The sequence below is a fragment of the Homo sapiens genome, chromosome 6 (assembly GCF_000001405.40).
Source record: "Homo sapiens chromosome 6, GRCh38.p14 Primary Assembly".
Taxonomy (NCBI): Eukaryota; Metazoa; Chordata; class Mammalia; order Primates; family Hominidae; genus Homo; species Homo sapiens.
Window position 1 is genome coordinate 27,888,111 of NC_000006.12, and position 26,785 is coordinate 27,914,895.

At 41.1% G+C, this 26,785-nt stretch overlaps 4 protein-coding genes, 2 non-coding genes and 1 pseudogene across 6 annotated transcripts, besides 14 other annotated features; 1 reads left to right on the top strand and 6 right to left on the bottom strand.

The window, feature by feature from the left end:
- Window positions 1,018-1,662: an enhancer, noted in NCBI's record as "H3K27ac hESC enhancer chr6:27856906-27857550 (GRCh37/hg19 assembly coordinates)". NCBI's record gives its function as "activates a minimal SCP1, AML or CMV promoter by ChIP-STARR-seq in primed H9 embryonic stem cells {active_cell/tissue: H9 hESC(primed)}" and the evidence as "EXISTENCE:reporter gene assay evidence [ECO:0000049][PMID:30033119]".
- Window positions 1,663-2,307: an enhancer, noted in NCBI's record as "H3K27ac hESC enhancer chr6:27857551-27858195 (GRCh37/hg19 assembly coordinates)". NCBI's record gives its function as "activates a minimal SCP1, AML or CMV promoter by ChIP-STARR-seq in primed H9 embryonic stem cells {active_cell/tissue: H9 hESC(primed)}" and the evidence as "EXISTENCE:reporter gene assay evidence [ECO:0000049][PMID:30033119]".
- Window positions 1,949-2,248: an enhancer, noted in NCBI's record as "active region_24334". NCBI's record gives its function as "activates an Ori minimal core promoter by ATAC-STARR-seq in GM12878 lymphoblastoid cells {active_cell/tissue: GM12878}" and the evidence as "EXISTENCE:reporter gene assay evidence [ECO:0000049][PMID:35858748]".
- Window positions 2,205-2,716, bottom strand: H3C12 (H3 clustered histone 12). The gene has a single exon (NM_003535.3). It carries the CDS (start codon window positions 2,680-2,682, stop codon window positions 2,272-2,274), a length of 411 nt encoding a protein of 136 aa, NP_003526.1. The 5' UTR covers window positions 2,683-2,716; the 3' UTR covers window positions 2,205-2,271.
- Window positions 2,308-2,952: an enhancer, noted in NCBI's record as "H3K27ac hESC enhancer chr6:27858196-27858840 (GRCh37/hg19 assembly coordinates)". NCBI's record gives its function as "activates a minimal SCP1, AML or CMV promoter by ChIP-STARR-seq in primed H9 embryonic stem cells {active_cell/tissue: H9 hESC(primed)}" and the evidence as "EXISTENCE:reporter gene assay evidence [ECO:0000049][PMID:30033119]".
- Window positions 2,469-2,688: an enhancer, noted in NCBI's record as "active region_24335". NCBI's record gives its function as "activates an Ori minimal core promoter by ATAC-STARR-seq in GM12878 lymphoblastoid cells {active_cell/tissue: GM12878}" and the evidence as "EXISTENCE:reporter gene assay evidence [ECO:0000049][PMID:35858748]".
- Window positions 4,201-4,744: an enhancer, noted in NCBI's record as "NANOG-H3K27ac-H3K4me1 hESC enhancer chr6:27860089-27860632 (GRCh37/hg19 assembly coordinates)". NCBI's record gives its function as "activates a minimal SCP1, AML or CMV promoter by ChIP-STARR-seq in primed H9 embryonic stem cells {active_cell/tissue: H9 hESC(primed)}" and the evidence as "EXISTENCE:reporter gene assay evidence [ECO:0000049][PMID:30033119]".
- Window positions 4,349-4,398: an enhancer, noted in NCBI's record as "active region_24336". NCBI's record gives its function as "activates an Ori minimal core promoter by ATAC-STARR-seq in GM12878 lymphoblastoid cells {active_cell/tissue: GM12878}" and the evidence as "EXISTENCE:reporter gene assay evidence [ECO:0000049][PMID:35858748]".
- H2AC17 (H2A clustered histone 17) lies at window positions 4,589-5,075 on the bottom strand. The gene has a single exon (NM_003514.2). The coding sequence runs from the start codon at window positions 5,037-5,039 to the stop codon at window positions 4,647-4,649; it is 393 nt and encodes a 130-aa protein (NP_003505.1). The 5' UTR covers window positions 5,040-5,075; the 3' UTR covers window positions 4,589-4,646.
- Window positions 4,745-5,288: an enhancer, noted in NCBI's record as "NANOG-H3K27ac-H3K4me1 hESC enhancer chr6:27860633-27861176 (GRCh37/hg19 assembly coordinates)". NCBI's record gives its function as "activates a minimal SCP1, AML or CMV promoter by ChIP-STARR-seq in primed H9 embryonic stem cells {active_cell/tissue: H9 hESC(primed)}" and the evidence as "EXISTENCE:reporter gene assay evidence [ECO:0000049][PMID:30033119]".
- Window positions 5,309-5,548: an enhancer, noted in NCBI's record as "active region_24337". NCBI's record gives its function as "activates an Ori minimal core promoter by ATAC-STARR-seq in GM12878 lymphoblastoid cells {active_cell/tissue: GM12878}" and the evidence as "EXISTENCE:reporter gene assay evidence [ECO:0000049][PMID:35858748]".
- On the top strand, window positions 5,315-5,781 carry H2BC17 (H2B clustered histone 17). Its single transcript, NM_003527.4, has one exon. The coding sequence runs from the start codon at window positions 5,353-5,355 to the stop codon at window positions 5,731-5,733; it is 381 nt and encodes a 126-aa protein (NP_003518.2). The 5' UTR covers window positions 5,315-5,352; the 3' UTR covers window positions 5,734-5,781.
- Window positions 5,939-6,078: an enhancer, noted in NCBI's record as "active region_24338". NCBI's record gives its function as "activates an Ori minimal core promoter by ATAC-STARR-seq in GM12878 lymphoblastoid cells {active_cell/tissue: GM12878}" and the evidence as "EXISTENCE:reporter gene assay evidence [ECO:0000049][PMID:35858748]".
- Window positions 6,961-7,010: an enhancer, noted in NCBI's record as "active region_24339". NCBI's record gives its function as "activates an Ori minimal core promoter by ATAC-STARR-seq in GM12878 lymphoblastoid cells {active_cell/tissue: GM12878}" and the evidence as "EXISTENCE:reporter gene assay evidence [ECO:0000049][PMID:35858748]".
- Window positions 7,414-7,698: a transcriptional cis regulatory region, noted in NCBI's record as "candidate enhancer chr6.1313 targeted for multiplex CRISPR interference". NCBI's record gives its function as "positively regulates OR2B6 gene expression with high confidence in K562 cells {active_cell/tissue: K562}" and the evidence as "EXISTENCE:mutant phenotype evidence [ECO:0000015][PMID:30612741]".
- On the bottom strand, window positions 9,396-9,455 carry RNU7-26P (RNA, U7 small nuclear 26 pseudogene; annotated as a pseudogene).
- Window positions 13,736-13,994: a transcriptional cis regulatory region, noted in NCBI's record as "candidate enhancer chr6.1314 targeted for multiplex CRISPR interference". NCBI's record gives its function as "positively regulates H2BC11 and H2BC12 gene expression in K562 cells {active_cell/tissue: K562}" and the evidence as "EXISTENCE:mutant phenotype evidence [ECO:0000015][PMID:30612741]".
- Window positions 14,220-15,292: a transcriptional cis regulatory region, noted in NCBI's record as "candidate enhancer chr6.1315 targeted for multiplex CRISPR interference". NCBI's record gives its function as "positively regulates OR2B6 gene expression with high confidence in K562 cells {active_cell/tissue: K562}" and the evidence as "EXISTENCE:mutant phenotype evidence [ECO:0000015][PMID:30612741]".
- Window positions 14,383-14,454, bottom strand: TRX-CAT1-7 (tRNA-iMet (anticodon CAT) 1-7). The gene has a single exon. It is a non-coding gene; the product is annotated as a tRNA-Met (tRNA).
- On the bottom strand, window positions 14,798-14,868 carry TRG-GCC2-3 (tRNA-Gly (anticodon GCC) 2-3). The gene has a single exon. It is a non-coding gene; the product is annotated as a tRNA-Gly (tRNA).
- Window positions 23,075-24,286, bottom strand: OR2B2 (olfactory receptor family 2 subfamily B member 2). Its single transcript, NM_033057.2, has one exon. The coding sequence runs from the start codon at window positions 24,207-24,209 to the stop codon at window positions 23,136-23,138; it is 1,074 nt and encodes a 357-aa protein (NP_149046.2). The 5' UTR covers window positions 24,210-24,286; the 3' UTR covers window positions 23,075-23,135.
- Between the last annotated feature and the right edge of the window lie 2,499 nt (window positions 24,287-26,785).

The following is a 26,785-nucleotide window of genomic DNA, read 5'->3' on the forward strand; positions in this document are numbered from 1 at the left end:
AAGTCAGAAAAAGTACAGAGGTTTATTGCAAAGTGAAAAATACATGCTCAAGGAAGGGAAGTGCAGGCTTACTCAAGAGAGTCAGTCTTGCCCAGGAGTGATTGGGGCTTCTAACTTTATGGGTTTCCTTAACCAAGGGGTGGAATATCCATGAAGATTTCTGGAAAAGGGTGACAATTTCTCAGAACTGTGGTGCCATCCATTTTTCCATGAAATATGGGTGTTCTCGGAACTGTCATGGTGTTGGTGGATGTCTGATTTGTATGTTAATAAGTGTATAATAAGGTCCCAGGTGAAAGCTAGGTCAAATCCAGTGCCATGTTGGGTCAAGTAGGACTTAGCCAGCTTGGCAAACATTTCGGTTTTCAGGGTCTCTTTGGCTCCTAGTTTGTGCAGCTATTTCAACAGTTTCCTTTTTGCTAGTCATGTGAAACTACTGCATGGAATCTTCTATTCTCTTGTGACCACCCTATATTATTTCTCTCTCAGAAGGGCCAAATAATTGACGTTTTTATGCCATTCTGAGACTACAGAAAGAAAAAAGGTCTTGAGACTTCTGGGGGTTTGGAGGAGGTGGTGACACATGTTGTAGGAGGGTGAAGGAGGAAGGGCAAAGGCACCAGGGGAGGAAAGGCAAAGGTTTTCTTGTTATGTAGATAAAGTCTCTCAGGTAATCGCAGAATAGCTGACAGCCTGTGACAAAGTAGTTTTCTCTCCTTTGAGTCAGTCTTAGATTCCTCTTTAGGCAGGAAAGGGAGCCTCAGAGAAAGCCAGTACTTGCATCCACTGTTTACTAATGTAGATTTCCTTGATAGGTATACAATTCTTTTACAAAAAAGAGCTTTTCAGAGCTATTCCTATTTCTGCAGTTTCTCTGAATAGCCATCTTGAAATATGACAAAGTATACTTCGGGGTGGCATATTTTAGTCTCCCACAAGAGCCACTCCAAACTAAGATTCAGAGATAAAATCAGGTTCAATAAATATTTTTTGTGTACCTAATGTGTTTTCTGGGGCACTGTCCAAGGCCCTAGAATATATTACTGCATTTAACCTTTAAAGCAGTCTCTTGAGGAAAGTAAAGTGAAGGAAATAAAAATATTTTACCCCAAAAGATATTTCTTTGCCCTATTTTGAAATGGCTGCCTCAGGGCCCGGAGACCGATGAGGCCCTGCAAATCAGTCTTTTGTGGGGGAAATTTCCATTTGTTGCCAGGCTTTCCCTTTCTAGTCCTTTCCTGGATCTAGGAGAGATTAACTGAGAGTCTGATCCTTTTTTATTTTTATTTTTTAAGAGACTGTCTTGCTCTGTCACCCAGGCTGGAGTGCAATTGTGCAATCATAGTTCACTGCATCCTTGAACTCGTGGGCTCAGGCAATCTTCCTGCCTCAGCCTTCTGAGCAGCTAGAACTACAGTTGTGCGCTGCAACACCCACCTTTCTTTTTATTTGTTTTTCGTAGAGACAGGATTTTGCTGTTACCCAGGCTGATCTCAAACTCCTGGGCTCAGGGAATCCTCCTTCCACTGCCTCCCAAAGTGGAGGGCATGAGCCACCACGCCCACCCTGACAAGAGACATTTACCATCTATTTTTTCTGAGGACTACTAGCTATGTGTTTTCATCTACATAACAAGACCCGCCCCCCTTGCTAGCCAAGTCTCTTCCTTTCTCCCTCCTATAATCTGTTTTCCCAGGTTCCAAGCTTGCACTCTTTCTATAATCTCAAGGTGATATATAAACTTCTGTATCTCATTGGTGGGTGGGTCCTCATTTTGAAGTCTCCCGTGTCTATGTGCTAAATCAACCGGCCTCATGTCCGTGATTTTCAGCAAGCTTCCAGGGGACCCAAGGGCAGTGCCCGTTTCAGTTAAAAATGGCATCTCATTTAACCTGTAATCTAATTGTTAGTTATGGGGTTCTGGAGATGCTATCCCCAAAGGACAGCATGTGCAGGAAGGACTTTGGCTTTCCCCTTGAAGCGGATTGACCTTGGATATAGATTTGCTGACTTTCCTCGGAGAAAGTGAGACCCTTGTGAGATGGGTCACAGAGGACAAGTGAAAAGGACCGTCTTAGAAGACAAAGGACACTGCAAGGAATCAGAATGAACAACCCTTGACGACTTTCCGCCAGTTTATCCCTGCTTTAAAGTTGATTTAAGACAGTCGACCAATGGTGTGACAGCTATCCTCAGTGAGAATGTAAGTGGCTCTGAAAAGAGCCTTTGGAAGCTTGGAAGCAATTAAGAAACCCAAGATAGAGCAGGGGATTATGCTCGCTCGCCACGGATACGACGCGCAAGCTGGATGTCCTTAGGCATAATAGTGACACGCTTGGCGTGAATAGCACAGAGGTTGGTGTCTTCAAAGAGACCCACCAGATAGGCCTCGCACGCCTCTTGCAGCGCCATCACCGCCGAGCTCTGGAAACGAAGGTCGGTTTTGAAATCCTGCGCGATTTCTCGCACCAGGCGCTGAAATGGCAGTTTGCGGATGAGCAGCTCAGTCGACTTCTGATAACGGCGGATCTCACGCAAGGCCACGGTGCCTGGCCTGTAGCGGTGGGGCTTCTTCACACCGCCAGTCGCTGGAGCGCTTTTGCGCGCTGCCTTGGTGGCCAGCTGCTTCCGCGGTGCCTTGCCGCCGGTAGACTTGCGAGCTGTCTGCTTCGTCCGGGCCATAGTTGAGAAAGCTATGCTCTGAAAGCAAGCAGCTGAATGAGCAGTGGCTTCTACCAGAATTTATAACGATGATCTGATCCTGATTGGTCAGAACTGTTGTAGGAAAAACCTGGTTGGTTGTTAATACTATCTTCATTTGGTTCCTGCCACTTTTTTTTTTTTTTTTTTTTTTTTACCTGACGGCTTCTAATTCTGTCGCCTAGGCTGGAGTGTGGTGGCGCGATCTCAGCTCACTGCAACCTCCGCCTCCCGGGTTCAAGCGATTCTGCCTCAGCCTCCGGAGTAGCTGGGACTACAGGCACTTGCCACGACGCCCGGCTAATTTTTTTTTAGCAGAGAAGGGGTTTCACCATGTTGGCCAGGCTGGTCTCAAACTCCTGATCTCAAGTTATCCGCCTGCCTCGGACTTCCAAAGTGCTTAGATTACAGGCGTGAGCCACTGCGCTCGTCCTCCGCGCCACTTTTATTTATTGTTTTCAACCAATCATGTTAAGATTCCCCCAATGAAAAGATAATCTGACCTAGAATTTGTGTAGGTCAGTCGTAGTCTTAAACTCATTTCCAATGGGTCATTTTTCCTATTTCGGATCGTGTAAAAATACATACAGTAGAACAACGTATTTGCTAGTATTTCCAAAAAGTAGTTCCGTTTTGTAACTGCTTAATTAAATCTTTTAATGACTGTACCAAGACCCAGAACAAAAACAATTTAAACTTAGGCTGGCACATTCTCTAAAACACCAAAACTTTAGTTTTGTCCAGTGTGGTGTGGGGAAGGAGTTTGATAGGTGCTTGACTAAATGATACCAATAAATGGTATCTGACCTCTTCATTAACTGAGTTTAATGCAATCCAATGGCTGATTGGATTAATTATGTAAATTATTGCTTAATTTCATTAGCATGCGCGGAATTACAGGTTTGGGTCAGTGATTAGATTTTTGCCAGTGAATCTGGGTAGTTCTGACAACAGCATTTTATTAGGATGGAGATTTTAGTTGATCAAAGAACTACCAGGTTCTGGTATTGATAAAGACCCATAAAGACAACAAAAAGGTTAGTTTAACATTTATTATATTCACAGGAGCAAATGATCACCAGAAATACTTTTGTTTGGGTTTTGTTTTTCTTTTTTTGAGACGGGGTCTCGCTTTGTCACCCAGGCTGGAGTGCAGTGGCGAGGTCATGGCTCACTGAAATCTCAAATTCCTGGGACTCAAGTGTTCCTTCTGCTGTCAGTCCGCCAAATACAGGCGAGGGCCTCGCGCCTGGTATTTTTTTTCTTTCTTTTTTTTAGATGGAGTCTCGCTCTGTCGCCCAGGCTGGAGTGCAGTGGCGTGATCTCGGCTCACTGCAACCTCTGCCTCCTGGGTTCAAGCGATTCTCCTGCCTGTCTCCTTAGTAGCGCTCGCCACCACGCCCGGCTAATTTTTGTGTTTTTAGTAGGGACAGGGTTTCACCATGTTTGCCTGGGTGGTCTCGATCTCTTGACCTTGTGATACACCCTCCTCGGCCTCCCAAAGTGCTGGGATTACAGGCGTGAGCCACCGCGCCCAGTCATTTTTTTTTTAAGAGGCAGGGGTCTCGTTATCAGGGTGGTCTCGAACTCCAGGTCCCTAGAGATTTCTCCCCTCCCCACCCACCTGCCTCAGTTTCCCAAAATGCTAAGGACGCATAAACCACCGCGCCCGGCCCCAAGTTTTTTAAAGACCCAGGACAGTTTGTGGGGAGGGGACAATTAAGGAGGTTCCTTCATGTTATAAGGTAGCAGTTGGATAGTATTTACTAGGCCTGATTCAATACTTTTATTTTACCCAATAGGAAAGTAATGGCCTCAGTGCTTGAACTCGGCCACAAATTTCTGATAGGTTTGGAGAACAGAGTGCTCAGTTCTTCCGTAGAAATGGTGGGTGGCTCTGAAAAGAGCCTTTTGTCTTGTAAGTTTACATTTTTAAAGTTCAGCCCTTACTTGCCCTTAGCTTTGTGGTGGCTCTCAGTCTTCTTGGGGAGCAGTACGGCCTGGATGTTAGGCAGAACACCGCCCTGAGCGATGGTAACTTTACCAAGCAGCTTGTTGAGCTCCTCGTCGTTGCGGATGGCCAGCTGCAAGTGGCGCGGGATGATGCGGGTCTTTTTGTTGTCGCGGGCTGCGTTGCCCGCCAGCTCCAGGATCTCGGCAGTTAGGTACTCCAGCACCGCCGCCAGGTAAACCGGCGCGCCGGCCCCGACCCGCTCAGCGTAGTTGCCCTTGCGGAGCAGGCGGTGCACTCGTCCTACAGGAAATTGGAGCCCAGCTCTAGAGGAGCGGGTTTTGGCCTTGGCGCGAGCCTTGCCGCCCTGCTTGCCACGTCCAGACATGGTAAAACGACCTGTGGCCTAAGTCAGAAAGTGAGTGAAAGGAACCTACAGGGACGCGCATTTTATAGCAGCTGCTGGGCGCGAAAAAGAAGCTGGGCCATTGGCTAAGCTTGCAGCTTCCTCTTAATGCAAATGAGCTTTCTGAATATACGTGTTTTGATTGGACTATATTGATATTAACGTCATCTGAGTAACTTCCAATCAGACAGAAGAATTTCTCAATCTCATCTGCATATAGACTTGTAAATAAATAGGGCATAACCCAGCTTGTCCTCATTCTTGTTATTTGAGTGCTCTTTCACTCTCCTCCGCCATGCCCGACCCGGCTAAATCTGCTCCTGCCCCCAAAAAGGGCTCCAAGAAAGCCGTAACCAAGGCCCAGAAAAAGGACGGCAAGAAGCGCAAGCGCAGCCGCAAAGAGAGTTACTCTATCTACGTGTACAAGGTGCTGAAGCAAGTCCACCCCGACACCGGCATCTCATCGAAGGCCATGGGCATCATGAACTCCTTCGTCAATGACATCTTTGAGCGCATCGCTGGCGAGGCTTCCCGCCTGGCGCATTACAACAAGCGCTCGACCATCACCTCCAGGGAGATCCAGACGGCCGTGCGCCTGCTGCTGCCCGGGGAGCTGGCCAAGCACGCCGTGTCCGAGGGCACAAAGGCCGTCACCAAGTACACCAGCTCCAAGTGAGCTCTCGCAGCTGCCAGCAATCCAAAGGCTCTTTTCAGAGCCACTCACGCTTCCAGAGAAAGAGCCTGTGCATTTTGCTTGTAGTCTTTTGGGTGGACTCCGGCCGGCCTCCATTAGGAGGGAAGACGGCGGGAAAAGGTAAGCTAAGCTCCCTAGGCTTTTTGCGTGTGAGTATAGACGCTCCATCAGACAAATTTAGCTTGGGTTCTTAGATACCCTTGGGGAAAAAGGCTTGCAGTTGTGCTTTAAGCTATAATTACAAGTTTGCTTTCGGTTTTCGGTTACTCTTTCCTTTTGTGTTGTTTTTTTTTTTTTTTTTTAAATGGAGTCTTGGCTCTGTCGCCCAGGATAGAGTGCAGTGCCGCGATCTCGGCTCACTGTAAGCTCCGTCTCCCGGGTTCAACCAATTCTGCTTCGGCCTCCTAAGTAGCTGGGATTACAGGCGCCCGCCACCGTGCCCGACTAATTATTGCATTTTTAGTAGAGACGGAGTTTTACCGTCTTGACCAGGCTAGTCTCGAACTCCTGACTTCGTGATCCACCCATCTCGGCCTCCCAAAATGTTGGGATATCAGGCGTGAGCCATCGCGCGCGGCCGGGTTATTCTTTCAGTGCCTGTAACGTCCCCCTTCTTTGATTGGTCAACGCTCTATTTGAAAAGCCCGCCAAGGGCTGCAATTTGCCAGATAGTCTCATCCGGGTTGTTTTTCGAAGAGGTTCTCCCGGAATGGAAATGACCGTTATCTGCAGGAGTGCATCGGACTCTGGCGCCAAGAGCTGGAAGCTGTGAATTAACCGTCCCTCTTACTGCAGTTGTACGGATCCTGGGTGACATTGACTTACCGGTGTCCATTTTCCATACACTTTAGAGAATAGGCATCTCGTCTGGCATCGCTGCAGATATGTTAGGGTGGGTTGAAATTATTGGTGTCAAAGCGGGACGGGAAACATTAAAGGCTAAGGAAGCTCCTTTAGGATAAAATGTTGAACAAAGAACCTGGCAACTTGGGAAAGCCGCTTTTTTGCAATGTTAATCAGTTGGCCTTGGGGAGGGAGGTGTGCCAGGATTAGCTGGGGCGGGGGCAGCGTTCAGGCTGGGATTTTAAAGTCCATGATTAGGAATCCTGAGATAGAAGTTGGAGAACCCCGCGTTTAAAGAGAAGCGGACCCCAGAAGAGATCACAGAAATAGGAGGTAAACCAAGAGCGTGCGAGTACAAGGGAGTGGAGACTTTTCAAGGCATGATCCCCTCTTCTCAACAGTGCCTGAATTCTCATAGCATTGCATCCTCTGCCACTGCGTTATCCCCTCTTCAATAAATTACTTCTATTGTAAATCTTTAGCAGCAAAATAGCAAGCCCCTCCACAATTCCACTCCAGGCTTTAAAATCACCCCTTAACTTTTCCTTTATTTTCCTGACGTCACTTCCTTTGCAGCTATGGGTGGAAGGCTATCTCGGACGAATAGTCTCGTCTCTGTCACAGGTGACAAACAGCCCCGAATTATGCCAATTGGTTAGTGGGTCGTTCAAAATACATTGTAGGATTTGCCGTTCACTTCCCTAAAATGTTCTCTTCCCCAGTCCCCGTACCTTGTCATTAAAGTTTGGTGCCTCGGGCTTGGCGACAGAGCTTATCGACAAGCTAAGTTACTTGGAGAGCAGTCCCCTGATTTCATCATGTTCTTTAACTTGGCATCACATTTGCCCCCTCCTTTCATTCCTCTTCGCTCTCTTTTTCGAGATTCGTTTCTCCCTGCCCATCCCGCGTCCTTGAGAGAACATCTGAGGGGTGATTATCCTCCGAGTGGGTGAGAGAGTACGTGTGGCCTTCTCCTGCCATCTTGTGGCAAAAAAGCAAAAGCACAAGTTCAAGGCGTTGTGTTTTCCAGCCCCAGTTAAAATGCTTTCTTCTTAACTTTCTACTGAGTCAGTGGGCTAGGGCAGGGTTTCCATTTTTCACTCCTTTTAATTGCAGGATTCAAGTTTCTTCAAGAGTTGTTAGTGCGGAGGTTAAAAGGGAGCGGGAGGGGGGCGGGGGAGTTAATAGGAAGAGCGAGGAGTGGGTAAAGGAGAAAGTCCTGTTGAGCTTTGTGATCTGGTCAGAGCTGTCCAAAAGAAATAAACAAATAAAAAAAGCCAAAATGCTTTATACCCTAAAATAAATAATAATACGATCGTGCTTTCTAGTTCTATTAGATTAAGTCCCCACACTTACAACTCAATTTAACCTTAATTATCTGTTTAAAGGCCCTGTCTTCAAATACCAACCACACTGAGGGCTGGGACTTCGACATGAAGTTGTTTTCTTTTGTTTTGTTTTTTGAGACAGAGTCTCACTCTGTCGCCCAGGCTGGAGTGCAGTGGCGCAATCTCGGCTCACTGCAACTTCCACCTCCTGGGTTCAAGTGATTCTTCTTCCTCAACCTCCTGAGTAGCTGAACTACAGACAGGCACCTGCCACAGCGCCCAGCTAATTTTTGTGTTTTTAGTACAGACAGGGTTTCACCATGTTGTCCAGGCTGGTCTTGGACTCCCAAAGTTCTGGGATTACAGGCGCGAGCCACTGCACCTGGTCTGTTTTGGGGGAACACAATGAAGTCCATAACAGCACTTAAGACCATTTTCCATGCTTTCATCCCGACTTTCTATTCCAAGTTCTCCTTTATAAAATATCTACATTTAGCTTAATTTGCAGATAAGGTGACAGTTATGATATTCCTTAAACCAGAAGTTAAAAGTCAGTTGCTAACAAAGGCCCAGCACATTAGAGCAAAAACAGCTGGATATTAAAAAGCACGCCTTATCTCTATAAAGAGAGGTGCTATTTGCTATTTTTCTTGAAACACCCAGACTTCTGGCATATTTCATTTTTCCAGTTTTGATAGAGATACTTGACCAAGATATATTTCACTGTTTTCTTAATTCTGCTGTAAGAACAACCATAGCACAAGCATATTGATAAATGCCAACTAATATGGAAACTAACAGGACCAGTGGTAACTTGAGAACTGAAGACAAAACCTGTGCAATTTGATTTCACTGATTTCTCCCTTCTAGCAATGCAAGCACAAGGACAGTGTGACTTCCAATTTTTCAAGAGTATATGCAGCTTAATGTGAAATATTATAAATTTTCAATACTGAGAGCTAATAAAATATATATATCATGGTACAGACTATTAAAAAAAAATGTCTGTTGACTTCATCAAGTCCTTCACCTCTAAAGTAGAGATCTCATGAAGCCCTTCATCCTTGAAGTTGAGATCTCTGGACATTAACAAAGACTCCTGTATCCATGACAAGCTTTTCACCAAGCTGCTCTTTCTGCCATCAGGGCCCAGATCAAATGCCCCGGCCTTCCCAACTTTCTAAATTCTCAGCTGAAAATAATTCATTCCTCACTTGGCCCCTCTGGATAAAGCATCAGGCCTCACATACATCAGGCATTGAAGAGTTATTTTCTGCTAGTTAAGTAAACAGATACAGTGAACTAAAAGAAAAAACAAAAAATTCAGTTCTCACAGCTATGAGGTAAAAGTGGTGAAAGGTATTTGGAGTTGTTCATTGTGGATTGAGTAGTTACCTGGGTAAATAAGCCAGTTCTTTTCTATTTATGTTACATTTTCTTACTTTTTTATTAATGTTATTCTTTGTGGGGGTGGGGACTTCCCAGCAAAAACCAGAAGGCCTGCTAGACAAATTCTAAAAGAGCTGTAACACTATTTTTTATTATTAATATTATTCTTAATTGACAAATCATAATTGTATACATTTTTGACAGAGTGTGATGTTTTGATATATTGTTGGGGCTCAGAAACTATAACCCAAAATGAAGGCCTCAGCAGCAGCCTCAGAAGCAGAAGCTTTTCCCTGACCTCCTGCCCTTCCGTCTCTGATCTATCATTCTCCCTCAAGGTTAGCCACAGAAACTAGAATCTCTCTTCCCCAAGGCAGGTCATAAAAACCAGAATCCTTTTTCCCCAAAGCCAGCCGTAAAACCTACAAATATTACTCTAGCTCCCCTCACCCACCCTATTCCCCAAGGCTTTTTGTATGAAAACTGGCCATTTATGGTCAGAAATTATCTGCCCTACCTTGTTTGACTGTAGGTCATAAGACCCCTATTCCAGAGAGGGACCTGCCCCATACCCAGAAGGAAGGAATGCTGCTCAGAGAGGCCAAGAAGAATCTGGACAGACAGGCCTTGCTGGGTTTCCCTACTCTGTTTACTATCATTAGATCCTACCCTTCATGTCCATTCATTTCTACAAGGCTGTCCATACTTTATAGAACCTTAAAAACAATGGACAATTTCCCCTGTATCTTTAGGCCTTCATTTTGAAGGGCTCCCATGTCACGTACAACTGTGATCAAATAATTTTTTTTTCTTCTATTCATCTGCCTTTAGTCAGTGATTTTCAGCAAACCTTCAGAGGGTGAAGGGGAAGCTTTCCTTTACTGTGTAATGTAATTCAAGGAGTTTTTCTTTCTTTTCCTTTTTTTGCCTTCACTCTGTTGCTGAGGCTGGAATGCAGTGGCATGATCCCGGCTCACTGCAATCTCCACCTCCCAAGCTTAAGCCTCATGTCTCAGCCTCCCAAGTAGCTGGGACCACAGGTATGCACCACCATGCCCAGATAATTTTTGTGCTTTTCATAGAAGGGGTTTCACCATGTTGGCCAGGCTGGTCTGGAACTCCTGGACTCAAGTGATCCACCCACCTTGGCCTCTGAAAGCTGGGATTTTCATGTGTGAGCCACCGTGCCTGGCCTCTTGCCTCTATAATGTATACTGAAGGAGTCCAGGAAATATCATCCCAAAGTATGCCGCATTGTTATGCTGATTACTTCCCACTAAAGTTATTTGGGAAATAGCAAATGCACAGAGAGGGGCTTTTTCTCAATCTCCTTTATTTGACTAAATGCAGATTCTCCAGGAGAAAGAAGTCAATTAATCATGAAAATTCTTCCTAGGAATTTTTATCTATCTTGGGAAGTTTAACAGCAACAGAATTGGAACTGAGAAAAGACTAGAAATTGGCTCCTCCTCCAGATAGGCCACTATCTATTCTGAAAGTCCATTCCTGTTTTCATTATAGTACCCTTCCTAGGTCGCTCCAACTCCCCTTTCTCCTTACTCCTGTATTTAAATAGAGAAAGAATTTAAGTTATAAAGAGTTGATAAAATGCTGAATGATTCCGGTGATGAATGTGGAAAGGAGGTGGGGAGAGAGGAAAGCTAGTCTCAGTACCCTTTTCCTCCAAACCTGACCAGTTCTTGGCCAGAGAAATAGTCTCCCACACAAGGAGTCTCCAGGTGTGTCTAAGAAATTCTGAGGTTTGAAAATCTCTTTAGTTGGCATCCAAAAGAATAAAATGGGCAACTGAGGATTAATAATTTGAGGAATTAGAAAGTTTAAGTTCTATCCACTACTCACCCTGGCTGCCATCACCTCATTTTATGTAATTTACTGGATTGTCTGTTCTTCCTGGTCTCTTTTTCCTCAACTAAAAGTGATTTCCAAAGTCTCTTCCAGAAGAAATAGTTGGCTTCTGAAAATAGATCTCATCCATATGGATCACATGAAGCTATCACTAACAAATGTGACATATGATAAGATTTGTTTCAATCATGGAAAAAGTAGTTCTACACTGCCAACGTAAATAACAGAGGGAGGCTCTCTAAAAGAAAATATATTTTGGGGGAATAGAGCATTGTAATGGGAATATGCATGCCAGAGTAAACAAGTTGAGTATATAAGAAGGTAAAAAAGACAAGGTTAAAAAATCAATTATTTACATAATTGTTTAGAAAGAATTATCCTTGACTATAAAGATTGAGGACTAAACTCTGATTTTTATCTTGCCCAAATTCCCATCTAAGGGGTCTGGGGAGTCATACCCTACAAATCATAAATTCTCATCAGATGGGTTTTATTTAACCCTATATATCATGACTTACTTTCCAACCTGACTCTGGCATAAAACATTATGAGACAAGGAAGAAAATCAAAATATTTTACACCAAAAAACATGTTTCTTTGCCATATTTTGAAATGGCCCTGCAAAATTGTTTTTTTGTGTGTGGGAAAATTTGTGTCTGTAAAGAATCTCTATTAACATAGCTAGATCTTTTTCTTCCAGACCCTCCCAATCCTAAAGAGATTAACTAAGATCTGAGTAGGAAACATTTGTTATCATCTATTGTCTCTAAGGGCAGCCACTGTTAAGACTTCAAAAGAACTTGGTCTCAGGTTCTTAACCTGAACACTCCCTTTCTATCAATCCCAGGTCTTTAGACAAATTCAACCAATTGTCAACCAGAAAACGTTTAAATTCACCTGTAGCGTGGAAGCACCCCACCCTGACCCCCCACCCAATACTCCTGCCCCGCCTCGGCGTCCTGCCTTTCTGGACCAAACCAATGTATTTCTTAAATGTATTTGATTGATGTCTCCTGCCTCCCTAAAATGTATAAAACCAAGCTGCGCCCCGACCACCTTGGGCACGTGTTCTTAGGACCTCCTGAGGGGTGTGTCACAGGTCATGGTCATATTTGGCTCAGAATAAATCTCTTCAAATATTTTACAGGGTTTGACTCTTTTCATCGACAAGATCAATAACAAAGGTAACACCAGTTCAAGGTTAGACAGACAGTTACTGGATGGATGTCCTTATAAAAATATTTTTGTGTAAATTTGCAAGGGCCTTTATACAAGGTTGAGGTTTTTACAATGTTTTGTGATAGTTTTTATGATCAGACATACAAATATAAAAACCCACTCCTCATGGCCTTCCTGGGATCTATTTGTCAGAGTTTTCTTAACATTAGTGATTACATTTTGATTCTGACAACTTTCACAATACAGTGACAGTGTGCTCTCAGGCCCCAAAGTGTCTGTCTTTACAAAATGACTATCTCTATATAGCTGCTCTCTTTTCAGTTTCGTGCTTGCTAATAGGAAACTATATACAGAAAGAAGAATGGCAGCCTTGTACAAGATTAGGAGGTAAATTGAATTCACTACTTTGCAAGGAGGCTCTGTCTGCAGTCACAATATCCAAGAACAAACTGAAAATTCATTTCTTAAATAGGATCCAGGAGAAAATAGAAAGTAGAGTTCCATTTTTCTTGGCTTTTTTTTTTTCTTTTAGATAAATCACATGTGCCTCTGATTATCTGTGTGATTAGAAAGTTTCTTATTGAGAACAGTGTTGGAGTTTGAGACCACCCTGGCCAACATGGTGAAACCCCGTCCTTACTAAGAATAAAAAAAATTAGCTGGGAGTGGTGGTGCTCACCTGTAATCCCATCTACTTAGGAGGCTGAGGCAGGAGAATTGCTTGAACCCAGGAAGTGGAGGTTGCAGTGAGCTGAGATGGTGCCATGGCACTCCAGCCTGGGCGACAGAGCAAGACCGTCTCAGAAAAAAAATTGTATTGCCATGGGCCTATATATAAGCAAGAGTGAAAATGAAATGGGACAGATGAACATCAAAGTCATAATAGACTTGACCTGAGAAAGTCGATAACAGGTCTGGGGATGGAGTTGAAGAATACTTAAATTTCATGAGTGTTTTCCTCTTTTCTCTAAATATAAAAGAGACTTGTAGTTTACATGTCATGATGTTAAATAATAGATCAAATCCATGTGGTCACTTTTGAACTGTTCTATACTTTTTTAAAAGGTGAAATAAGATCGTGAGTAATGAGGAATACTGATGTTTCGGTTTGGTGAATTGGAAATTGTGGCTATTAACTAATATTTACCAACTCACCAGTATCTAAGATGTGCCAGGACTTGTTCTAGGTATGATGGCAACCACAATGCCAAAACACAAAAATCTGTCCTTGTAAATTTACTTCCCATGAGAGAGAAAATACTAAATCAATAAAGACACAATATGCTGCATAGTAATAAGTGCTAAGGAAGAAAACAGACTAGGAGCAAGACATTTTTTGGAAGAGTTGTTATTCAAAATAACTTCACGGTCTGGCGAGAGGGTTCACGCCTATAATCCCAATACTTTGGGAGGCCAGGGCAGGATAATCATCTGAGCGCAGGAGTTTGAGACCAGACTGGGCAAAAAAAGTGAGACACCTTCCTCCCACCCCACATCTCTCCAAAAAAAAAAAAAAGAAAAAAATTCAGCTGGGCTAGGTGGGGAGCACCGGTAGCTCCAGCTACTCAGAAGGCTGCTTAAGCCCACAAGTTCGAAGTTGCAGTGAGCTATGATCGCACCACTTGCACTCCAGCCTGAGTGACAGAGTGAGGCCCCGTCTCAAATAAAATATAAAATATAATATAATATAAAATAATAAAAATAAAATAAATACTTCCAGTTCTCTTTAACTGAATCTCTAAAAATTAGCTACCTGTAAACTTGGAACTCTAAACTAAATTATAGTTTACAAACTGGTAGTATGCTGAGGTGGAGATATTTCAGCTCATGGACTTAGTATCAATTCCTGCTCTTTAAGATGGGGTACCTCTAATTTCTTAACTGAAAGCTGCTTCCTGATTTTCTCCTCAAAGGCATGTGAATACTTCCATTTGCTGTCACTTTTCCTTTGAGTGAGCTGGCAAGGGAAGGAAGGTTGGTGAGAGTAAGTCGTAAGTATCTTTTTAGAAAAAGAAAAAAAAAAAAATAGCAGAGGATGGTTTCGATCCATCGACCTCTGGGTTATGGGCCCAGCACGCTTCCGCTGCGCCACTCTGCTCTATACGGTAGTGATATTTGCAGTGAATTCTTTATGATGTTTTCCTCAAAACTTGGTGGGGATTCTGGTTTTTTGGTATGGTTAAACAAATCTGATTTCCACACCCCACCAAGGGCCACTAGTTCTATTTATGCTGCAAACATGAGGATGAGTTCAGCGTGTATTGGTATCAAACATTATGAAAGCAAAAAAAACCCTCGATGTTTCTGTAAGAAAACAGCATGTCGCTGGCCTGCCTGCTTTATCATGTAGTCAAAATGTAAGGGTAAGGCAAAAAAGGCATAGGGAAAATATCCACCTTCTGAAATAGAATACGTAGTTTTCAAGAATAAAACGTCATCGTTGCATTGGCCGGGAATCGAACCCGGGCCTCCCGCGTGGCAGGCGAGAATTCTACCACTGAACCACCAATGCCTCGCGTACAAAAGAAGCCTTGTCGTCTCTAGGAAGGCTTTGTCGTCTTTCAGGAATCCAACTAATACCATAGGCTGTGTTTTCAAAAAGATATTTAGGTGGCTTTCCGTTCTTATTGAATAGAGCCTCTTAATAGAGCCTTCTTCCCTTCTTTTCAGGAAGAAAAAAATCCCTTTCACTGTAACTTCAAAGCGTCTCCTGCAACACTGGAGGCTGGCCCACGTGTGGGCGGCCCGGCTCCCGCACGGTCTCTGCGGCGAGGTTGGACTGCTCTGGCTGGGCCAGCACCTCCGCCCCGCGGGTCGCGGGCGCCTGCTCTGACTATATATAATAATATAGCCAATTCTTTTGATTAATATTATTGTGGCTACCTTTTCCAACCTTTTACTATTTACTTATGTGTGTCATTATATATACATTTATATACACATACACACACACATATGTATTTTATTTTATTTTATTTTATATATTTTTTGAAACAGAGTCTCCCTCTGTCACCCAGGCTGGAGTGCAGTAGCACGTTTCATGGCTCACTGCAACCTCCGCCTCCCGGGTTCAAGCGATTCTAGTGCCTCAGCCTTCCAAGTAGCTGGGATTACAGGTGTGCTGCTACCGTGTCCTGCTAATTTTCATATTTTTAGTAGAGACGGAGTTTCCCCATGTTGGCCAGGCTGGTCTCAAACTCCAGACCTCAAGTGATCCACCCACCTCAGCCTCCCAAAGTGCTGGGATTACAGGCGTGAGCCACCATGCCCGGCGAATGTCCTTATATTTAAAGCACCTTTCTTATAGACAGCATATAGTGGGCCTTGCTTTTTTATCAGTCTGATGATCCGTGTCTTTTTGTTGGAGCATAATGTGGGACACATTTTGGTACTGGAAATGATGTTTAAAGAAAAAACCTGTGACATATTTATGGGAATATGATTGTTACTCAATGTAAATAATTTAGAAAAGTAAAATACGATAAATATGACAGTGTATTTTGTGTCTATATTTAAATTATACACAGAGAGACAGACGGTATTATCTTCCTAATAATTCCACTATCCATATGGTGCTAATACTTATGCACCTTTTAAAAAACTATATCGATCTCTTATATCTGCAAAAAAGATTTTATTTTTTCACCAATTTTTGCCCTGTGGTCAACTCAGTGTATGTACTGAAAAATGATATAATCTATGTGTTTGTTGTTTTAAACAGGAAAATGTATACAGTTTACAAATTCTCATGATAGATAGTAATTATACTACAAGTAGGAATAAAGTTGGATTCCTGCTAATTTCCTTAAGAATCTAAAATTTAAAAAATCTGATCCTTCAAAAGTAAATTTTATGCTCTTTTCTTTGGAAGATGATGGACTATATAGCCCTAAGTGATACAGATGATGCAGTACCATGAATGATGGCCCTTCCCAAAAGATATGTCTACGTGATAATCACTGGAATCTGCAAATGTTACCTTATATGGAGAAAGATGTGATTAAGAATCTTGGGAGGAGGGATTTATTCTAGATTATCTGAGTGAATTCTAAATGCCATCATGAATCCCTGTAAGAGACAGGTAAAGAGGGATTTGACTGAGGCTCACACAGAAAAGAAAGAGATGAAAATGAAGCCAGAGCTGAGAGTGATGTGGCCACAAGACAGGGACGAGCAGGGCATGCCCATAGTCACTAGAAACCAAAAAAAGCAGAAACAAGTTCATCACCACCACCACACCTCGTCTGCCCACCCACCCACCACCCTCCAGAGAGAACATGGCCTTGCTAGTACCTTGATTTCAGACTTCTGGCTTCCAGAACTGTGAGATAATAACTTTCTATTGTTTTAAGCCGTCAAGCACATGGCAATTGGTTATGAAAGCCCTAGGAAACTGATACAGTTGATTACTTCATTGTATCCTTTATTTAAATATTCCATTATACCCCATTTTTTATCTTCAGGAAGTTTTTTTAAAATCTAACCAAATTTCTCCTATATTGTAGTTGACAGAGCCATACACTTTTTGGATGGAAAGGGATCTTGAAAGGGATCTTATAAGTCACGCAGTCCAACTTCCCTTGGGCTGCTTCTCATATTTGAAAATCATCTCCACAGATATTTACCCATTCAAGCCATTTCATGTTTTCTAGCGTTGACTTCTGTATGCTAAATCAGAATAGCTTCCATCCAGTTCTTTCCTTGGAATCAACTCAATTTCTTTTACATGACATTATTCCAAAGGTTTAGTTATATCTATCATTTTCTCTGCTGCTTTTGTTTCTTTGGTCATTAACAGAAATTGTTATCACAAATGTTATTTCACAAAAGGAAATTCCTAAAACAGAATTTAAAAAGGAAAGACATTAGGTAGATTGTTTAATTCAATCTCTATTTTATATAGAATTCTATTTTCCCTCATTGCCAGAAATGGTCAGCTATTTCATCATGGTATAACATCTATTTGTGTGTGTGTGTGTCCTTATATCATGCTCAGATCTACTTTTTAATTTTTATGCATTAGTAGAATTTATAACCTTTATGAAACAAACTAAGCTATGCACATGATTTCCCTTTAAATAGCTGAAGAAAGCTACTGCTTCATGATTTGACAAAGCATTTTCTACCCAGCATTGAAAAAATCAATGCCTTCAATAATTCTTCAAGAGGCATGATGTTCTGATTTTTCAATTCTCTAGTCATTATTTTGTGTAGGCATTTTAGTTTTATAATGTATCTCTTAAAATATAAATCCTCAAACTAAAGCCAATAATCTACATGTTTTATTATCCATATGTCTTAGCTGGTATGGGATTCACTGCCAATCATATTTCTATTAATACTATTATGTAGTATATAATTGAAGTAAATGTGTTTGTCTTGATTTACGTGAAATTTCATCCTTTTATTTATTGCTTTTAGTTTTTAATTTTATTTCTGACTTCTTTGGAATTATTACTTTCCCAAAGTTTAGTGTCATTTTTAACTTATGAAGTCTGTTCTCTTTAAATTCATGCAAGTTATTTATAAGTGCATATTCTAGTAGGATAAAACATTTAAGTCTTATAATAATAATATTTTCATGGTGATAGTGTTTTATTAATCACCTTCTGAGTGAGGTTTTACAAAAAGATAGGGACAAATGGAACTGCTTTCACATTTTGGTCATTATTGCTCCATATTGTACGGAAGTAGAATAAGAATTGTTTGCAAATTCTATTCGGAAATCAAGATTTATGGAAGTCCTAGCCAGAGCAATCAGGCGAGAGAAAGAAGTAAAACACATCCAAATAGAAAAAGAAGTGCAACTATCTCTGTTCACTGAGGATGTAATTCTATCCCTAGAAACCCTGAAGACTTTGCCCAAAGTCTCCTGGAACTGATAAACTACTTCAGTAAAGTTTCAGGATCCATTTACATGCAAAAATTAGTAGCATTTCTATACAGAAATAATGTTCAATCTGAAGCCAAATCAAGAAGGCAATCCCATGTACAATAGCTACACACACACAAAATTACCCAGGAAGACATCTAATGAAGGAGGTGAAAGACCTCTATTAGGCCGGTCGCAGTGGCTCACGCCTGTAATCCCAGCACTTTGGGAGGCCGAGGTGGGCGGATCACGAGGTTAGGAGATTGAGATTGAGATCATCCTGGCTAACACGGTGAAACCCTGCCTCCACTAAAAATACAAAAAAATTAGCCGGGCGTGATGGCAGGCGCCTGTAGTCCCAGTTACTCTGGAGGCTGAGGCAGGAGAATGACGTGAACCCAGGAGGCGGAGCTTGCAGTGAGCCGGGTGCAGTCAGTGAGCCGGGATCGCACCACTGCACCCCAGCCTGGACGACAGAGCGAGACTCTGTGCAAAAAAAAAAAAAAATTCTCTATTAGAAGAACTACAAAACACTGCTGAAGAAATAATAGATGACACAAACAAATGGAAAAACATTCCATGCTCATGGATTGGAAGAGTCAATGTTGTTAAAACGGTCATATCACACAAAGCAATCTACAGATTCAGTGCTATTCCTACCAAACTACGAACATCATTTTTCACAGAAGTAGAAAAACTATTCTAAAATGCATATGGAACCAAAAAAACGCCCCACTGCCCAAAGCAATCCTAAGAAAAAAGAACAAAGTTAGAGTCATCACATTACCCGACTTCAAACTATCCTATAAGGCTACAGTAACCAAAACAACGTGGTACTGGTACAAAAAGAGACACATAGACCAATGGAACAGAATAGAGAACTCAGAAATAAAGTCACAAACATATAGCCATCTGATCATTGACAAAAATAAGCAATGGAGAAAGGACTTCCTATTTAATAAGTCATGCTGGAATAGCTGGCTAGCCATATACAGAAGAATGAAACTGATGAAACTGGACCCTTATGTGTCACCACAAAGATTAACTAAAGATGGATGCAAGTTTTAAATGTAGGACCTCAAACTACAAGAATCGAAGAAGAGAAAACCTGGGAAACACCATTCTGAACATGGGCCTTGGGAAATAATTTATGACTAAGTCCTCAAAAGCAATTGCAACAAATACAAAAATTGACAACTGGGACCTAATTAAACTAAAGAGCTTCTGCATAGCAAAAGAAACTGCCAACAGAGTAAACAGACAACCTACAGGATTGGAGAAAATATTTGCAAACTATGCATCCAACAAAGGCATAATGTCCAGAATCTCTAAGGAACTTAAACAATTGAACAAGCAAAAAGCAAATAACACCCATTAAAAATGGGCAAAAGAAATGAACAGACACCTCTTGAAAGAAGACATACAAGCAGCCAACAAACATATGAAAAAATGTTAATCATCACTAATCACCAGAGAAATGCAAATCAAAACCACAGTGAGATATTATCTCACACCAGTTGGAATGGCTATTATTAAAAAGTCAAGAAACAACAGATGCTGGCAAGGCTGTGGAGAAAAGCGAATACTTATACACTGTTGGTGGGAAAGTAAATTAGTTCAGCCATTGTGGAAAGCAGTTTGGGGATTTCTCAAACAACTTAAAACTGTTCCACTCAGCAATTCCATTACTGGGTATATATCCAAAGGAAAACAAATCCTACCAAAAAAGCACATGAACTCATGTGTTTATCACAGCACTATTCACAGTAGCAGAGACATGGAATGAACCTAGGTGCCCACCAACAGTGAATTAGATAAAGATATACGTGGTATACATATATACCACAGAATACTATGAGTCATAAAGAAAAAATCATGTCATTTGCAGCAACATGCAGCTACAGGCCATTAACCTAAGTTAATTAACACAGGAATAGAAAACCAAATACCATATGTTCTCACTTATAAGTGGGAGCTAACCATTGGGTACTCATGGACATAAAGATGGCAACAGTAGACACTAGGGACTACTAGAGTGGGTAGGCAGGGTGGGGGACAAGAGTTGAAAATCTAACTGTTGGTACTGTGCTGAGTACCTGGGTGACAAGATCAATCATACCCAAAACCTCACTATCACAAAATATACCCAGGTAACAAACCTGCAAATGTACCCCCGAATCTAAAATAAAAATTGGATTTAAAAAAAAGAAAACAGAAATCAAGAATTGTAGGCTGGGTGCAGTGGCTCACGCCTGTAATCCCAGCACTTTGGGAGGCCAAGGCAGGTGGAACCCCTGAGGTCAGGAGTTCAAGACGAGCCTGGCCAACATGATGAAACCCTGTCTCTACCAAAAACACAAAAATTAGCCAGGCTTGGTGGTACTTGCCTGTAATCCCAGCTACTTTCCATAGGCTGAGGCAGGAGAATTGCTTGAACCCAGGAGGCGAAGGTTGCAGTGAACTAAAATCGCGCCACCATACTCCAGCCTGGGTGACAGAGTGAGACTCCATCTAAAAAAAAAAAAAAAATTATTATACATACCTCTATAAAATAGTTTAGTAATTGTCGTTCTAAATGAAGCCAGAATATATATGTATATAGTCACAAGTAACTGATGGCAAAATATACATAAAATTTTGTCATATGGCTTTAGAACTTACCAATATGCAATTTATTAGATCAATTGATGGCTCATTTTAAAAAATGTAAAATACTTCAATCTCCATCACTCTGGTTTCTCTACTATTTTCTCATAATTCTTTAAAGGACCCTGACATTGCCTTTGAGCTGACATCAAAATTTGTCTCTGGAAATCTGGTATATCATTTAGTTGGACTTTAAGATATGAATGCATTTTTATTAAGGAATGTCCCCTCATATTTCAATATACTCTATTAGTGTTTTGCTCCTATTTTTCCTTTAAGTTATAACTCATTTCTAAAAATAAAGGATAGAAACTCAACAAGCAACATAACTTTATTTATTTTAACTGTTAGCACAGCTGTTCCTAAAGTGTGGTCTCCTGACAGGCAACATAAGTGTTACCTGGAAATTTGTAGAAATGCAAATTATCAGGCCCCACCCCAGACTTACTACATTGGAAGGTCTGGGGGTAGGTGACCCCCACCAATCTGAATTTTAAAAGCTCTACAGATGATTCTGATGCAAGTTAAAGTTTTAAGATCCACCATGTTGGGTTAGAATTATGCTGAAATTTATGTTGTTACTGTAAGGTTTTCAAGTAAAACATTCTAATTGTATTTCTTAGTTATTGCATTTTATACTTTTATGACATATTTGATAAAGGAAAAAATTGGAAAAAGAATAATAATGAAGAAGCAGTTAATATAATTATAGCGTAACTCACAAAGTCAACGAAATAACAAACTTATAGTGTTTATTTTCTTTAGCACTTTTATGGGCTCTGAAGGCCATATGGAAGAAGTTGAAATTATGATCTATGCTACCTCAAGGGAACTAACATGAAATTAATAAGCATTTCTTTTTGTACAAGAAATGTGCATTAAACAAGCTGTGGACATCATTATATAATGTGCTTTTTTAATGACTTAACCTGTAAGTGCTTTCTTTTTTTTTTTTTTTGAGATGGAGTCTCGCTCTGTTGCCCAGGCTGGAGTGCAATGGCGTGACCTCAGCTCACCGCAACCTCCGCCTCCTGGGTTCAAGCGATTCTCCTGCCTCAGCCTCCCAAGTAGCTGGGACTACAGGCGCACGCGGTCATGCCTGGCTAATTTTTGTATTTTAGTAGAGACAGGGTTTCACCATTGTTGCCCAGGCTGGTCTTGAACTCCTAACCTCAGGCAATCCGCCTGCCTCGGCCTCCCAAAGTGCTAGGATTACAGGCATAAGCCACCGCGCCCGGCCCCTATAAGTGCTTTCGAGGTTAAAAGGAGAGAGATAATATATACAGTAGAGGAATCATTTTAAAAGGTCAAAAGCAGGCATTCGATTTCAGTCTAAAATGTAGCTACAACTTTATTTGATAGATGGAATAGGACACTTCAACTTAGAAGTGGGAAGTACAGAAACAACAGAAGATCTAAGTAAAACTGGGGAGTGCAGAATTGTTGTGGATTTTAGTATTGTGTTGATGTGCGAATAGTGTTAAAATTTAAGCTAGGGCTGTTAAACTTATAGAGAAAATTAAGACAAGGTTTTGGATACTTCTGTTAGATCTACAATTGTCTGAAAAATAATTTGTGCCATGGAGTTTGTGTGTGTGTGTGTGTGTGTGTGTGTGTGTGTAAGGATGAGGACATGTGTATATGTATCAAAATGTTTTGTTTCTGGCTTTTATTCTGGTTTCAGAGAAGTCTAAGTCTCTTCCCGATGTATACAGACTAGTGCTAAGATGTTTGAGACCTTAAAGATTTCAAGGCTATGCTATTTTGAGAGTTCATAAAAGATCAGTTCTTAAGACTTGTGCAATGAATATATTTAGGCAGTAGAAAACAGATATAGTTCTCTGTCGACATTTTATTTGAAGATCACTATAATAGTTTTTCTAAGAATAGTAATAATAAAGCAATTTGGAGAGAATTAAATTATAAGCTATGTAAAATTGAAGTCTTTAAAAGGCCTATAATTTGAGAATTCCTTTTTTTTTTATTAACACCCTTGCAAGCAACCTCTCAAAAGCTCCCTTTACATCTTTGTTTCTATGTGTGTGTGTGTATGTATGTATGTGTGTGTGCGTGTGTGTATTACTGAAGAGATGATTTCTGGATCAGAAAGGTCTAGTTTACACTGAATTGTACAAACATTGATGTAAAGTGTGACAACCCTTGAAAATGTTGTGATTACAGTTTTTGGTGCATTGGAAGGCCAATTCTGGGGGCTTGTTCAATGAAAATGTTTAGGCAACAGAAACAAATATAGCTTTTTGTCAAGGAAATTTTCTTTGAGGGAGATTACAATAGTTTTCTATAGTAATGACAAAAATAGGACAACTTGCGGAGAAGTTAGTAAGGTAAGTAAGCACTGTGTCTTTAGCAAAGCTTATCATTTGCATATTTCTTATTTCTTGATTAAGAAGACTCTTTGCAACCAACCTTTTAAAGGCTTCCTTTACCTCTTTGTTCCTAAGTGTATATATAAGGGGATTCAGCATGGGTGCAATGATTCCACAGAAGAGAGAAACCATCTTTCCCCGGTCTTTGGAGCTGGGTGAAGGTGGTTGCAGGTACATGGAGATAGCTGTACCATAAAAAAGTGACACCACAATTAGATGGGAGCCACATGTCCCAAATGCCTTTCGTTGACCTTCAGCAGACTGGATTCTCAACACTGCTTGGACAATAAAAGCATACGATATAAGGATGAGTGTCACGGGTATTAGAAGGAATAGCACACTGATGAAGAATAGTTCAGCCTCATTTGCTGTTGTGTCAACACAGGACAACTTGAGCAGAGCAGGGACTTCACAGAAGAAGTGATCCACTTCTTTGTGACCACACAGTGGCATCTTAAGTGTCCAGGTGGACTGTAATACTGAATTGCTAAAGCCACTAATCCAGGATGCAGCTGCCAACTGGAAGCAGAGCCTCTGGTGCATGATAATTGAGTAATGGAGAGGCCGACAAATAGCTACAAACCTATCAAAGCACATGACGGCCAGGAGAAGACATTCTGTGGAACCCAAGGCCAGGAAAATGAAAAGCTGGGCCACACAGCCACCATAACTGATTACTTTCCTGGTGTTGCATATGTTTACCAGCATTTGTGGAACTGTACTTGTGGTATAGCAAAGGTCCAGGAGTGAGAGATTGCTAAGAAAAAAGTACATAGGGGTGTGGAGTTTGAAATCCACATGTGACACAAGAATTATTGTCAGATTGCCAAAGATTGTCAAGATATAGGAAAACAGAAACATCACAAAGGGTGGAATCTCTAGCCATGGTTGATCTGAGAAAACTAACAGAATGAACTCCTGTGGGACACTCTTATTTACCCAATTCATGTTAAATGGTTCAACTCTTCGTTCTCTGAAATATAAGAAGTCAGGAAGTTAACAACACACTTCCTGATTTTGTCAGCTATAATCATTTTGCTATCAATTTACATAAAATTACAGACTGATCCAATTAATAATGTGAAAAAAGTATTGATAAAAATATAAATATTTATCCATCCAAGTATTTAAAAAGTGTTTATATATCTGTAACAGCATATTAGCAAATTGAATCGAATTTCAAGAATCTTTTTTTTTTTTTTTTTTTTTTTTTTTGAGGCAGAGTTTCACTCTTTTGCCCAGGCTGGAGTGCAATGGCGCCATCTCGGCTCACCGCAACCTCCGCCTCCCAGGTTCAAGCAATTCTCCTGCCTCAGCCTCCCCAGTAGGTGGGATCACAGGCATGTGCCACCACCCCGACTAATTTTGTATTTTTAGTAGCGATGGGGTTTCTCCACGTTGGTCAGGTTGGTCTCAAACCCCAACCTCAGGTGATCTGCCCACCTCAGCCTCCCAAAGTGCTGGGATTACAGGCGTGAGCCACTGTGCCCAGCCTAATTTCAAAAATCTTAAGCCATATTTTCAGTTTCCAAATTCACATAATGTATCCTTTGATATTTTACTGTTTGTAAATGTATTTTTCTCATTCTTCCTACCTAGATATCTACTGTGAGGTAGATGTAGATACAGTTTCCTGTCATTTGAATTCATTCTAATTTCTCTTCAAGGCCAGCGAGATTCCCTGATTGTAGAAATCAGTTAACATTAGTTAAAGCCACCTCCCATTATTCCCCTTCCCTCAAAAAAGCCATGTAGACAGTATCTAGTAAGTTATCAGACACAATTTAAGGAGACATATCCTTTTCGTTCTAGAAGCTCATAGAATTTGTATAGATTCCTTAGTAATATGATATTTGAAGGTGACAGGCTGGTCTCATATCCCTACCCTCTCTAATTAGTTACATTCATTATATTGGAATGCTTCTAACCCTTTGATCTCCACAATTCTCATTTGTAAAATGAAGATGATACAGTGGTTCCCCCTTTATCCATGGGGGATACATTCCAAGACCACCAGTGGATAGAAACCTGAAACTGTGGGTAGTACCAAACCCTATATATACTATGTTTTTTAATACATACACAACTATAACGTTTAATTTATAAATTAGGCACAGTAAGAGATTAAGAACAATAATTAATAAAATGCAGCAAGTATAACAGCTCCAGACCCCCATTTATTGTAATACATGTTATGTGAATGTGGTGTCCCTCTCTTTTTTTCTCTTCAAAACACCTTATTCTAGTGTACTCACCCCTCTGTGTTCTGACGATCTGATAACCGAGATGGCTACTCAGTGACTAACAGGCAGGTGGATGCTTTAAATCAAGCTTGTCCAACCTGAGGCCCACGGGCTGCATGCAGCCCAGGATGGCTTTGAACGCAGCCCAGGATGGCTTTGAACGTGGCCTAACACAAATTTGTAAACTTTCTTAAAACATCATGACATTCACTGATGATTAAAAAAAAACTCATCAGCTATTGTTAGTGTTGCTGTATTTTATGTGAGACCCAAGACAATTCTTCTTCTTCCAATGTGGCCCAGGGAAGCCAAAAGATTGGACACCCCTGCTCTAAACAGAAGGATGATTCCCATGACTGGGTGGGACAACACAAGACTTCATCAGGCTATTCAGAATGGCATGTATTTAAAACTTATGAATTGTTGACTTCTGTAATTTTCCTTTTAATATTTGCAGACCATGGTTGACTGTGGGTAACTGAAATTGTGCAAAGCAAAACCACAGATAAGGAAGGACTACTGTAATGTTTTTCTAAGTTGTCTTGATGTGAAGTATAAATGATGTGAGGTATTAACGCACACACCTACCCTAGACTTACACCTTTAGAAATGGAGAAGAGTGGATGAAAGGAACTATAGTGATCCAAGGTCTGAGGTGCTCAGAAAGGAATTACTTATGATTTTTAGAACTTTAAATTTCCTAGGGTTACTAATGGAAATGACTATGCCTGTTAAAACTCAACATCTGATTTCCTTCTTAACCCGCAAACATCAACTCCAACAAGAGGGGGTCATAGTAAGCGTATGATGTGAGTATAAATGTGATCTTTAGTGTAAATTGCCTAGCAGAGTGCTTGGCACATGGATGCACAGCTGTGTCAGAGACAGTACAACAGTTCTGCAGGAACTCTGAGATGCTTTGAGTAGAGGCTATTCAGTCTCATAAATTTCCTGGAGGGACTAATATGCCAACTCTACCAGCTAAACATGTATTCATCCCCCCCAAAATCTTAATGGGACACTTAATTATTTTATTACTTTATCAATATCAGAATATTTGTTTTTCAATTTCATTCATGTTCGGCAAAATGTTAGCAATGTGAATTTTAATTTTTCTACTTATTTTAGAACCACTAGTTCCCTAAAAAATGTCTCCTTGACTCTCACCTGAAAAGAAATTTGAGATTTGTAGTCATAGATGTGGATAAGAAATGATACTCAAAGGTATTTTTAAGTGAAAAAAGGAAGTTACTGAACATTTGTATAGCATGATTCCATCAG